The 13,612-nt window shown below is 33.6% G+C and overlaps 1 protein-coding gene across 16 annotated transcripts in view; it reads left to right on the top strand.

Annotated features, from left to right (window-relative positions):
• Positions 1-13,612, top strand: part of CNTLN (centlein) — a 393,595-nt gene that overhangs the window by 91,556 nt on the left and 288,427 nt on the right. For all 16 annotated transcript variants that reach the window (XR_007061321.1, XR_007061322.1, XR_929282.3 and 13 more), the window contains exons 4-5: positions 9,063-9,197; positions 9,814-9,993. Coding sequence is in view for 13 of the 16 variants with exons in the window: in XM_017014839.2 (XP_016870328.1) it covers positions 9,063-9,197; positions 9,814-9,993 (315 nt within the window). In the remaining 3 variants the exon portion in view is untranslated. The remainder of the gene's footprint in view (positions 1-9,062; positions 9,198-9,813; positions 9,994-13,612) is intronic.

The following is a 13,612-nucleotide window of genomic DNA, read 5'->3' on the forward strand; positions in this document are numbered from 1 at the left end:
CTTGTAAATTTTCAGATGGTTTTATTTGTAGAAAAGATAAAAATTGAGATCCTATTATTTACACTTAAAACTTGTATTTTTGTGTTAGTACTATATTAGGCTGTTCTTCCACTGTTACAAATAAATACTTGAAACTGGGTAATTAATAAGAAAGAGGTTTCATTGGCTTATGGTTCTGCAGACAGTACAGGATGCATAGCAACATCTGCTTCTGGGAAGGCCTCATGTCAGAAGGCAAAGCATGTGACACTTCATATGGTTATAGCAGGAGCAAGAGAGAGAGACAGGGCATGGTGAGGGAGGTGCCACAGACTTTTTTTTAATTTTTTTAATTTTTATATATATATTTTTTTATACTTTAAGTTCTAGGGTACATGTGCACAACGTGCAGGTTTGTTACATAGGTATACATGTGCCATAGTGTGGCGATTCATCGGTGATCTAGAACTAGAATAACCATTTGACCCAGCCATCCCATTACTGGGTGTATGCCACACACTTTTAAACAACGAGAGCTCATGAAAACTCACTCCCTATGCAAAATCAGCACCAAGCCATGAGGGATCCACCCTCATGACCCAAACACCCCTCACCAGCCCCCACTTTCAGCTTTGGGGATTACAATTCAATGTGAGATTTGGGCAGGGACAGATATTCAAACTATATCAAGTACAGTCCTATCTTTTATGTATAATCAGTAAATTATACAATTACATATAATTATATGTATATGTAATATGTAAAATTACGTGTGATTATATAATCAGTATGTAATCACTGCAAAAGTGCATGTGGTCATGCTTCCTGGAACAATTTTCAAGATACAAACATTTCAAAAAAGAAGTGAAAGAAATTTAAGAGTGGCTAATATCGTTATATAATATTTAAATTCATTTTATACTCAAGCTCATTACGGAGTAAATAAATTATAATTTTTCTTGGGAGGTACCTTTTTGGCAACCATGTTCTTTTGACTTTTGAATTTATTTTCCTTTCTAACCAATTAAAGGTTCATGAGAACTTTGATCTAGGATCAGTTATTGTTATAAAGTTGTTTTATGAAAAGACTAAAAGTTCCATTCCCTACATTTCTATCTGTTCTTTCTAAAAAGGAATATTGATTCCAATAAACTTAGAAATTTGAAATTTACACGTTTTCCAAAGTTGAGTTTTTCTTATAGAAAATGTCATAATTGGTACTATGATGATAAAATGTTAAGAATAACATTTTAGTAAATTTGTTCTGGAAAGAAACATTTGTATTTACCACCCAAGTATCAAACAACATTAAAATGTACTCTAAAATAGGTAAATGTTGTCATGTGCCTGGTATATTAATTGGATTAGGCTAAGCTGCTTGACAAGTACAACCTTATGAGCCAGACATGGCAGACATCATTTGTATTTACATTTTACTGGAAAAAAATTTGGCCACCCCAAGATTCAGGCGATTTGAGAAAATGTAGATACAAGTTTAGCGGTCCCTTCCTCAATTACACCTCTATTCTGTTAGAGCAGGAAAATCTTTAATATCCTTAGGCATTAAGTTTGCAATGCTTTAGTGAATGCTCTTTGGTTTACCAGCTTTGGATAACCATAGCACACCCTTAGAAAATGTTGCCTTTTGTAAATGAAAATATATTTTCCCCTTTTCTTTGCTAAATTCTTTGTCTACTTCTGCATCCTTGAGTAGGGATTGTTTCATTATTTATCTTTTGAGTGGAATCACATAGCTTATATATAACATATTAAACTCTCATAATAGAAATTATTTGCTTTGTAGGGACCCAAATTTCTTAGGATTAATCATTTCATTTTTGTGCAATGATGATTATAACTTTCTACAAAGTATATTTTCAGTTAGGTGCAACAAGATAATGTATTAAATGTATATATTATCCTGTGATGGTGTTGTAGAATATTCAGAGTTACATTTCTTGCCTTTAACGCTTTTTAAATCTCTTTGATGATTAGGTGATGATAGAAGTAAGGTGGAAATTGCCATATTCTCCTACACTACTTTGTTTCTATGAGGGCAGAGTCTGTTTCTCTTTCATCCACTCTTTAGTCTCATACAGACGACTGTATACCCAGTACGTAATTATTAATAGTTATTTCATAGTCAGGTCCACTGACATGGACCTGAATTATTAGGTTGGCAGGAATTAAAGGTATGTAAATGGAACCATAAGGACTTGATAGTAATTCTGAAAATGACTCTTAGGTTTTCAGCTTAGAGAAACCAGGAGAACAGTGGCGTTATTATCAAAAATAGGCTTATTTTCAGGAAGTATAAATTGTTTTGAAGGTAAGGTTTTGAGCTCCTCTTAGAAAGTTTGTGTTTGAGATGCTGATAGGAATTCCATTTAGAGATTTTTAGCAAACTGTTGGAAGCATGAATCTGATGAAGGAGTTTTGACCTGGAGATGTGGGTATTTAATAGTTTAGTTAGAGGGAAGACTTTAAGCAGTGAGAATTTTGAGAACAAGATATTTACTGATATTTTTAATGAGGAAGGAAAAATTGTAGTGAAAGAGGTGAAAAGACTTTATAGAAGTAAGGAGAGAGTACAATGCAATATCTCATGAATTGAGAAGAGAGAGTTTCAAGAAGCAAAATGTTGTCATTGTCGTAAAATGCTGCAAAAAATGGAGTGGGTTTTTGAAAAAGACATTACATTTAGCAGTCATGAAGTTTTAAAATGAATTTTAGAAAGCAATACAACAGGGATGGCATATGAAATTTTAAGAGATCATTGAATTCTGACAAAGTAATGGAAAGGAATGAAGAAATGTGACATTATGGGGTGGGGAGATAGTGGGATGGATTGATTGATTGACTGATTTGTTTTAAGTAATAGCTCACGCAGTCGTGGGCTGGCAAGTAACTCTGCAGGGCAGCCTGGCAGAATGGAGACCTAGGGAACAGTTTATGTTACATTGCAAATCCTAAGGTAGCCTGGAGGTAGAATTTCTTCCTCCTCTGGGGATCATAGTATTTTCTTGGGGCCTTCAACTGATTGGATGAGGCCAGCCCACATTATGAAGGGTAATCTGCTTTTCTCAAAGTCCATTAATTTAAATGTTAACCACATCTAAAGAATACTTTCACAATAACATCTAGACTGGTGTTAGATAAGAACGTGTGTACCATGGGTAGCCTAGCCAAACTGACATATAAAATTAACCAAATGGGTAAAAACAGCTGGGGTAAATAGGTTTTATGTTTATCTGGCTAGATATTAGGCTGTCTCCACTGTTCGCTGTGGTATGAGTTAGAGGCAGAACTCTGGTATCCGTGCCTTTTATTTGAATTTTTGTAGAGATTTTATAAATATCCTTGATATGCATAATTCAGTTTTCTTAAAAAGAAAAACCTTAGACAAATTAAATTCAATGGAGTTTAATTGAGCTGAAAAAAATTCACGAATTGGGTAACACTCAGGACCAAAAGTGGTTCATAGAGCTCTGCTCCGCAGTGTGGGCTGGGACTGTGTACAGCCAGACAATGGAAGTGACACACAGAAATAGCCAGATTGGTTACAGTTTGGTGTTTGCCTTATTTGGACATGTTTTGGCAATTTGCACTTGTGATTGGCTGAATGCTTGGCTGCTGTGATTGGCTGAGACTCGGCTACTATACAAAAATATACTCTCAAGTAGGGTTGTGTTTACATGTTGTTAGGTTACAGTTAGCTACCTACAGAGGCAATTTAATTTAATAGTTGCTATTTAAACTGCTTTGTTTGGTCAAACCTATTAATTATACAATAGTCCCATTGATGTGGTGGTGGGGTGTTGGGGGAGGAGAGGAAGCGGTCTGTAGTGTTATGTTTGGGTTTTTTTCATGGTGAGCTGTGCTTCTGGACTGTGACCTTCAAAAGTGCTTCTTAGTTTTTTGTTTGTTTGTTTCCCCCCTCCCCTTACCCCCTTAGGAGAGACAGGAAGGCTAGAAGGTGCTAGAGTTGGGTATTTCCCTTTTCCAAGTTGGTTAGTTAGGCTCAGGTAAAACCCCATGAGTCTGGGCTCTGGTAAAATAGTTTTTCTTGATGGCAGGCCTTGGTAAGAAGAAAAGAATACTCTGAGTGTGTTTAAAGATGGTTACTTTCTCCCTCCACATACTGGAAACAGGAAGGAATAATTGTGTGATCTTCCCTGTGACAACATGACAGGGGTCCAGTAGGTTAAACTTATGAAAATGTGTCACCTCTTATTGTTTTATGGTTCCTCTGAGTACTGCTTGCCCCCTTCCCCCAAGCATGACTGAGCCATCCTTGAGTTTTAAACTCTCAGACTTGTCCATATTGATCTTCCAGTAATTCATTAATTACAGAATAAGTTTTTCCACCCTGGTGCTGGCTCCTGTGGAAGTTTTTTCTCCTGGGCATCTGTTCCATTAAGTTGTTATTCTCTCTATTTTCATGTCTGTCTCTTCAATTTTGGGAGCGTTGGTTTGCTGGATAGTCTCAATTCTCTGATGGATCTGAAAAGAGTTGTTGATTTTCAGTTTGTTCAGCGTTTTTTCTTATTGTGTAAATGAGAAAGATGACTGCCAAGTTCCTTATATGCTGGACTGGAAACCAGAAGCCCCCTCCATTGAATTGTTGTTGTTCCACTGAAAAATATTAAATAGCTCCTAATGTTCAAGATTTATAGCTATGAGATAGAGTAAGAATTAGAATGACAAATCCTTCAGCTTATTTAACTCTTACTTCTGTATCTAGTGAAATTACTAGAAAGTTACACACACACACAGTTTTTTTTTAGCTGTTTGCAGAAAAACTTTCCTAGGGTGCAATCTAATAATTATTAGTATAAAGAATTGCCTTTTTTTGGGTAAGACTATGTTTTAGCTTTGTCACTGTTATAAAACAATGTTAATACATTTCCCTTCTAGTATTGTGCTTTGATAGCATGACTTATGATAACCTAGTAAATTGTATTTAATTAGATGATAATTGCTCTTTAACATTATATTTCATTTTTTCCTTACCTTCTAGGAAGCTCAGAAGTTTTGTTTCATAATTGCAATTACTTCTTTTATCCCTTCCTTTTTCTCCACTTATCATTGCTTTAGTTATTGTGGTTTAATTACTGCTTTGTTTGTTTTTTGTTAAAAGTTTCATGTCCATTTTGAAAATAGGTCAGTATAAATAATAAATTAACTATGCTCAAGTATTGCCTAATAGAGTTTGGGGTTTGGGCCTTATGCCCCTTCCCTACCCCCCACCCATTTTTATGCCTGCTTCATACTCACTATTATTCTCTTGTTACTCTGTAGACTTCTCTTGACCATTATTTGAATTATTCATTCATTTCATGGCTTATCTGTAATAAATTATTTGTTCCAGACATTCTCTCTCTTGTCATCCCTTATTGCTTTATGGTTCCTCTGAATTCTGTTTGCTGTTTTAATATTAACTCAAGCCAGGCTATTAAGAATTTACCTGCCTCTATTCAGAAAGATTTGTTGAAAAATATTAATAAAGCTTAATTTTAAAATGAACTTTAACTGTATATGTCTGTGCTTTCATTATTTATAGAGGGTATATTTTATTAGGAAAATATGTTGATTTATACAAACTTTTACACTTTTAGAGTTTATCAGTGCTCTTGTGTTGGGAGAGAATCTTTGTCTAACTTATTTTCTTTAATGATTTTGTGATATAAGTAACTATATTATGCAATTTAATATTAAACTAATTATCGGAATATAATAATTTTGGTTAACCAATTTTTTAAATTTTATTATGCTTTTTAATTTACAGATTGAGTCTGTGTTTGTCCTTTTGAATTACTATTATAAGTTCACTCAAATGCCAAAATCTAAATTATTAAATAATTCTCATGAAAGGACTCTCTATTGGTATCATTTATATTGTCAGTGCCTGTTTAGTTTACTTTAATGGGAAAACTCTTTTAAAACTTGTCATTTGGTTCTTCCTAGAGTTTAACTAATTTCAGAATAGACAAGATATGCTCAAATTTTGTCATTTCTCCTTCAAAGGATAGGCTTATGGGTATTTTACAAACAGTTTTAATGCTTATATTATTGAATTTATTATTTAGTGTCAATTTCATCTGTAAACACTTAACAGTCTAGTTTGGGAGATATTATGAGTAGATAGATTATTAGCAACACTCGGTAGTTTGTTGTGTATCAAATGTATAATATAGATAATACAAAAATTTAGAAATGGCAAGAATTACAAAATACTGAGATAGTAAGGGAAGCTTTTATTGAGGAGGTGGAAGTCGAGTCTTAAAGGGGCATAAGACTTAGCTGAGAGTAGAAAAATTGATTGTAAATTGTGGAGGAGCCATTTTTATGCATCTATTTTTATGTTATTTGATTGATGTCAGGCACATTTTGATATGGCCTAATAATTAAAATAGAACAGAAAAGTTAAAAACTGAGATGCTATTTGTACTTACTGGATTTAAAAAAATTTCCAACCCTGAGAGTTAAGTGTTGGTATGGAGGTAGAATAATGAAAACTCTTGAAATGCAAATAGTCTTTGACTTAGCAATTTCACTTTTAAGTGGATATAATCCAGAGAAGTGTTCTTCAAACTTTTGTTAGTATGATCCCCACGCTGAAGTACATTTTACTTCATGACCCATTATACACACATGAAGTAAGTTTCGTATAAGTTATTTTTACTACATATAATTAAGGTAAATATATGAAAATGTTTATATCAAATGTGAATTTACTAATATTTAAATACAATAAAAATCTTAAACATGATAAAAATTTAGAAAATAATTTATGAAGCATGTCTGTTTTATAAGTTTATTCCTTTAACTGTAGTTTCATTGCTAAGAATGTGTGCCTATTACCTTGATATTTTCTATTGTATTATAATCCGTTTAAAAAAATGCCACTTATTGTAACTAAATCGATTTAATGACCCATTACTAGATTGCAGTCTGCAGTTTGAAAAACACTGCTTGGGAGAAATTCTTGGTCATGAATATTTGCAGTCATGCTGAAGAGTGTTCATAGCAGTATTGTTTGTATACCCCTTTACCTCAAATGGGAAACAGCTGAAATACACACTGATAAAAGATGGATAAATATAGCATAGTTATCTGATGGACTAATACTGTACATCAAGAAATTGATCTAGTTACATTCATTATTATGAATAAATTTGGGAACATATGTTGAGCAAAAATAGCAAGCTATGTAATATGTGTAATATGATTTAAGTTCAGAAGTAAGCAAAACTATACAGCATATTAAATAGGGACATATATCTGTCTTTGAACTATAAAGAAAAGCAAGGCAAAGATAAGAATCAGGGTTTCAGGATAATGCTTACCCTTGGAGGGAATAAGAGGTACTAGAGGATAAAGGGTCATTTATGAGATATCAAAGATAATGGTACAGTTGTGTTTCCTAGCTGAATGTTGGTTACGTACAGGACCTCTCCTTTTACTTATTTTTTTAAAAAATTATTTACACACTGATCACAGATTATTTTTGTATGTATTCAGCGTCTAAATTATTTTTTAACTATAAGTAAAATAAAATCAATAATTAATATTACACTTTTAAAAATTAGAGTATTGGGGTTGGGCACGGTGGCTCACACCTGTTATCTCAGCGGGGCCAAGCTGGGAAGATTAGTTGAGTCCAGGAGTTTGAGAAGGTAACATAGTGAGACCTCATTTCTACAAAGAAAATTAAAAATTAGCTGGGTTGGTGGCACATACCTATGGTCCTTGCTACTTGGGAAGCTGAGGTGGGAGGATCCCTTGAGTCCAGGAGTTCGAGGCTGCCGTGAGCCATGATTGTGCCACTGCACTCCAGAGTGGGTGACATGACAGAGCGAGACCTGTCTCTCAAAAAAAACTAACTAAATAAAATAGAATATTGGATATATTTTCACTTTATTCCTAAAATCCACTTTTCATCATAATCCTGGATCTTCCTCTCATTTTCAGTTTATTCCCAAGTCCTTTGGAGACAATTTGATAAGGAAGAAATGTGAGAGTATAAAATAAATCGATATTTAGGGATCAGCACCAGTGATAGATCAGAAATGGAATAAAGGTCAACTGAGCATATTACTTAAAAAAAAAAGGTGTTTCTATCTTGATGTGTCTCTTTCTTGGTTGACAGACAGAAGGTGTTATTGAGTCTGACTTGGAGGCTTCCAATAATTGTGTGAGGCTAGATACTATGTGTTTAATAAATATTAGTTGAAAGAATGGATGGATTGATAAAAGTTGAAGAAGTTTAGGAAAGAGATAGTATCAGGATATGGATTTCATTTTTAGTAAGTTAGTTTGAGATAGTAGACAATCCAAAGGGAGAGGTCTTGTATAGCTGGAAATATGAGATTGGTGATTGGGAAGGTGAGGGCTGGATTATAGATTAGATAGTCTTTCAGACAGAGGAAAGATCAGCAGCCAAGAGAGGTGCTACATTTTCTGAGAGAAAAGATGTACAGAGAAACAAGGAAAGCTAAAAATTGAGTCTGGGGTACATCCACCTCGTAGGTGTAATTTAGGTATCTCACAGGTGAGAAGAATGTTCGGTTAAAAATTTTGGCAGCCTTAACATTCTAAATATTCTGTCTACAGAGCAAGATATTATTAGTACTAAAATAAACTTGCCATTTTAAAAATTTTAAAGTGATTTATGCTTTTACAAAATCATAGTTTATCAGAAAAGTTCCTTCTAAATGACATTCAAATAAAAGAATAAGGAATTATGTTAGCTATAAATATATTTTCTTTAATTAGAATGGTTCGTAAAATCTTGTTTTTCTCCTGTTACACACCTAAATTTTGAAAATTTGCTTTCTGAGTATGATTTAATATTTAATATCCAGTTTTTATGTGTTCTTCAACATAAATAGGCCCTGTACTTGCACATTTTAGTTAAAAATTCATGGGCATGTTACAGGAGATGAGAATTGTGGTGACAGACATTATTATGAAAGCTATTTAATCATCACATTAGCAAATCAAAATGTAAAACCTTTAAAATAAAATACTGTTTTTCTTAGAAATAAAAGCTCACCAGTAATTTAAATTTTTTTCCACAGAGAGAGTCAGTACTGAAACAGGAAATAAATGACCTTGTAAAACGGAAAATTGCAGTAGATGAAGAAAATGCTTTCTTAAGGAAAGAATTCAGTGACTTGGAGAAGAAATTTAAAGATAAAAGTCAAGAAATTAAGGTGTGTTGACTTGTACATAGTTTTGTGGGACTGTTGCTTTGAAGTTCTGCTTTAAGCTTTGTTAGCCTTTGTGGCACAGAAAGTGACAGATTTGGAGGAAAAATTGCCTTAGGCCCTCCTGTACCATACAGTTTTCTCACATGCAAAAACTCTGATAAAGATGCTTTAAAGCCAGAACTCCAAGCTTTATAACTTTTAGATAAATAGTTAATGATGGAAATGGAGCTAAGAAAGTAGGAGTGTGAATATGTGGCTTCTTGTAATTAGATTCTGATGGGACTGGCATTATTAATTGATAAAACCCAGGTCTGGGAGGATATGTCTGTATGGGTCTCAAAAATAGCTGGGGACAGCATCAAAGGCAGCTTGATCAATTAATGGGCTCTTTGCAAATGTGTACTCATCAAAGCTGTCATCCAGTGAAAAAATATGACCCATCCACCTGCATGAAAAGAGGCCAATAAAAGTACACAGGTGACCTTGGCTATCAAATATAGAAGAAGCTTCTGTGAGGGTAAAACTGCACAGTTTGTATTTGCTGATTAGTGCTCACCATTTTTTGGGTTTTTTGTTTCGTTTTGTTTTATTTATTTGCCCTTGTGGTACTGTTCTACAGGACACTAAGGAGTGTGTACAGAACAAAGAAGAGCAAAACAGACTAGTTATAAAAAATCTGGAGGAGGAAAACAAGAAATTAAGTACCCGCTGCACTGACCTGCTAAATGACCTGGAGAAATTGAGGAAGCAGGAAGCACATTTGAGAAAAGAAAAATATAGCACTGATGCAAAAATAAAGGTATACAATAGGAATGGAATCCATACTCCTCTTTTGGATCTAACTTTTTCTAGGAAGTTTAATACATGTTATTTTCTTTAACAACTTATATATTCATATCCACCAGTGGGGACTAGCATTAATTTATATTCTTTCACTTAAGACCCATAGCTTTTTAAAAATTGATGTTGCAAAGCAGGAAACTGACTTCAAATGGTTATCCTAAAATGTAATCATTAAAAAATAAAGGCTATTGCATTTTGAAAGAAAATGTGTTTTCAAATAACATATTTAGAATCATTGGTTTTAACTTTTTCACTTAAGGCTTAAGCTTACAAAGATAGCTATAATTTGTTGCAGTATAGTTTTTAAGACTATTTTCTAGATCCTTTGAAATATAAAGTGTAAAAAATACTAAACAGTTAAACAATACAAATACGTGGTTCTATGGTGGTGCTTTCTTTGACTTTAAAGGTGCTTTCTTTGACTTTAAAGGGCCTTATTTATGGGAAAATTTTATTTTTATAGAAGATAAAAGTTACAATCAATCTTTATAATCTTATACCCTTTTTAAAAGGCTAATCAAGTGAGGCAGTGGTTTCTTACAATTTTATTAGTATTTTTCAAAATAATACTTTTTTATGGCATTCTCTTTGTCTTTAGAGGTTTTTGCTAATTTCTTTTCTTATTAAATTACATTTTTTTTTAAACTATAGATTTTGTTGAAAAGGGCAGACACAGATTTTAGTACTAGTAAATATGGTGGTCTCTCCATGTATATGCCCCTACACACACACACACACACACACACACACACACACACACACACACACACACACGGTTAGTCAACAGTTACAAGCAGTTGACCATATGTATCTGCAGGTTCTGTATCAGTGGATCAAGCTATTCAGAAAAAAAAAACAACACAATTAAAAGTAACAATACAATAATTAAAAAAAACAAGTAAAAGATACAGTATAACAACTGTTTACATTGTATTCAGTATTTTAAGTAATCCAGACATGATTTAAAGTATATGGGAACGTGTGTAGGGTATTTGCAAATACTATGCCATTTTATATAAGAGACTTAAAGCATCCATGGATTTTGGTATTTGGAGACCCCTGGCTGGGTTCAATCCTCCAGGAATACTGAGGGACGATGGTAATATGTATGGATATATGTGTGTGTATATGCATGTGTGCAAGAATATTTAAGTTAGGGGAGAAGGATACATCTTTCTCGGTGTATAAACCTGTTGCAGATTATTTATGGAAATATTTAAGTCTATTAGTGCACAATCATGGGGTGACTGAGCCATTGAGAGAACTGAATTCTGGTGGATTTATTTTCTTAATTTTTATATCAGTTTCTGCTTCTGTGCAGCATTAAAACAAATTGGAAGTGTGATAAGGGTAAATCAGTACTTGTATTAATTCACAGCTACATGATTATTTGGTGATAATTTTTATTTCCTTATTTATTCTACTTGAATAATCAGTTCTGGGATTTGCTGTGACTTGTGTTACATTTTTTTCTCATGGGGTTATTGTCTTTTTCTTATTGCTTTTTGGGCATTCATTACTTATTTTGGATACTAATACTTCATATCTTATAAATACCTTCTGTTCTACAGACGTTGAATAAAGAAAACTGGAATTTCAAAAGTTTGTGAATTTTGGTAGTCATTTTATTATTTTCTTCTCAAATGTTTAAAGGTTTTATATGACAAAGTTTTTCCCACCCTAAAGTCTTTAATCTATTCATAATTTATTTTTGGATGTGATGGTCCACATCATTTACTCAATACCCACGGAAGCAGCAAGATTGTTCACTGATCTTCTCCCAGCTTTCTCCCATGAAGCATGGTCATAAAAGAATTCTCATAGCTACCTTCCTGGAAAGTAGATCTTATGACCCTCATTCAGAGAGGTTCTGTCTTGTACCTAGAGTCCAAGAAGAATCTCAACAAACAGGCCTTTCTAATAAGTTTATTTTACCACAGAATCATATGCCTTTGTCCTCCAGTCACAGTTTTGCACGACTGTCCATAAAAATACACAGTTTTCCCTGAGTCTTCTGGTCTTCATTTCCAACATCTTCTGTGTCATGTAAAACTTTGGTTAAATAAATGTTATATTTTTCTCTTAGTAATTTATCTTTTATTACTGGGATGTCAGCCATGAACTTTGCCATGGGTAAGGAAAAGATACTACTTTTTATTTCCTACATGTATATATATTTTCATTTCTCTTGGGTATATACTTAGGAGTGAGATTATTGGGTCATATGGTAACTGTTTTTAAGCTTTTGAGGAACTGCTAGACTATTTTCCAAAGCAGCTGCGACAGTTTACATTCAGACACTTTGAGGATTTTGATTTTTCGATGTTCACATCAACACTTGTAATTGTTTGCCCTTTTTGTTATAGCCACCTCAGGAATGTGAAGTGATATCTCATTATGGTTTTTTATTTGTTCGTTTGTTTGAGACAGAGTCTTGCTCTGTTGCCCAGGCTGGAATACAGTGGTGTGATCTCAGCTCACTGCAACCTCTGCCTTCCCGGGTTCAAGCTATTCTCCTCCCGAGAAGAGGCAAATTACTACAGGCGCGTGCCACCACATGCAGATAATTTGTGTATTTTTAGTAGAGATGGGGTTTTGCCATGTTGGCCAGGCTGGTCTGGAATCATTGTGGTTTTGATTTGCATTTTCCTGATGGGAAATGACGGTGAGCATCTTTTCATGTATTACTATCTTTGGAGAAATGTCTATTCAAATCTTTTGTGTACATACTGGATCCACGTTCTTTATCAAGATATATACATTGAAACTATTTTTTCTTAAATTCTTTGTTACTTTTTACTCTTTTGATGGTGTTCTTAAAATACCAGGTTTTAGTTTCGATAATATTTTATTTATCTACTTTTTTTGGTGTTACCCATGCTTTTGATGTCATATCTAAGAAACCATTGCTAATCCAAGGTCATGAAGATTGACACCTTTGTTTTGTTCTAGGAGTTTTATAGTTTTATGTCTTACATTTCATTCTTTGATACATTTTGAGTTAACTTTTGAATATGGTGTGAGATACAGGCCTAATGTCATGCTTTTGTATGTGTTATTTAGTTGTTTCAGCACCATTTGTTGAAGAAAATTCTTTTTTCCCCACTGAATTGTCTTGATACCATTATTGAATATCAGTTGACTGTAAATATAAGGGTTCATTTTTGGACCTCAGTTCTGTTTATTTGATCTATACATCTGCCCTCCTGTCTATGCCACATTTTCTTGGATGTTGCAGATTTGTAGCAAGTTTTGAAATTGGGGTATATGTGTCCTCCATATTTTTTCTTTTTCTAGATTAGTTATTCTGGGTCTGTTGTATTTTCATATGAATTTTACAATTATCTTTTTTCTTCTGGCCAAAAAGGCCATCAGAGAGTTTAATAGAGATTGCCTTGAATCAGTAGATCAGTTTGGGGAGTATTACCATCTCAATAATATTAAGAATCTTCTGATCCATCAACATGTGATGTTTTCCACTTATTTTGGTCTTCAATTTTTTCAGTTGTTTTGTAGCTTTCAGGGTATAAATTTGCACTTCTTTGGGTAAATGTATTCCTGAATATTTTATTATT

The sequence above is a fragment of the Homo sapiens genome, chromosome 9 (assembly GCF_000001405.40).
Source record: "Homo sapiens chromosome 9, GRCh38.p14 Primary Assembly".
In the NCBI taxonomy this organism is placed as follows: domain Eukaryota; kingdom Metazoa; phylum Chordata; class Mammalia; order Primates; family Hominidae; genus Homo; species Homo sapiens.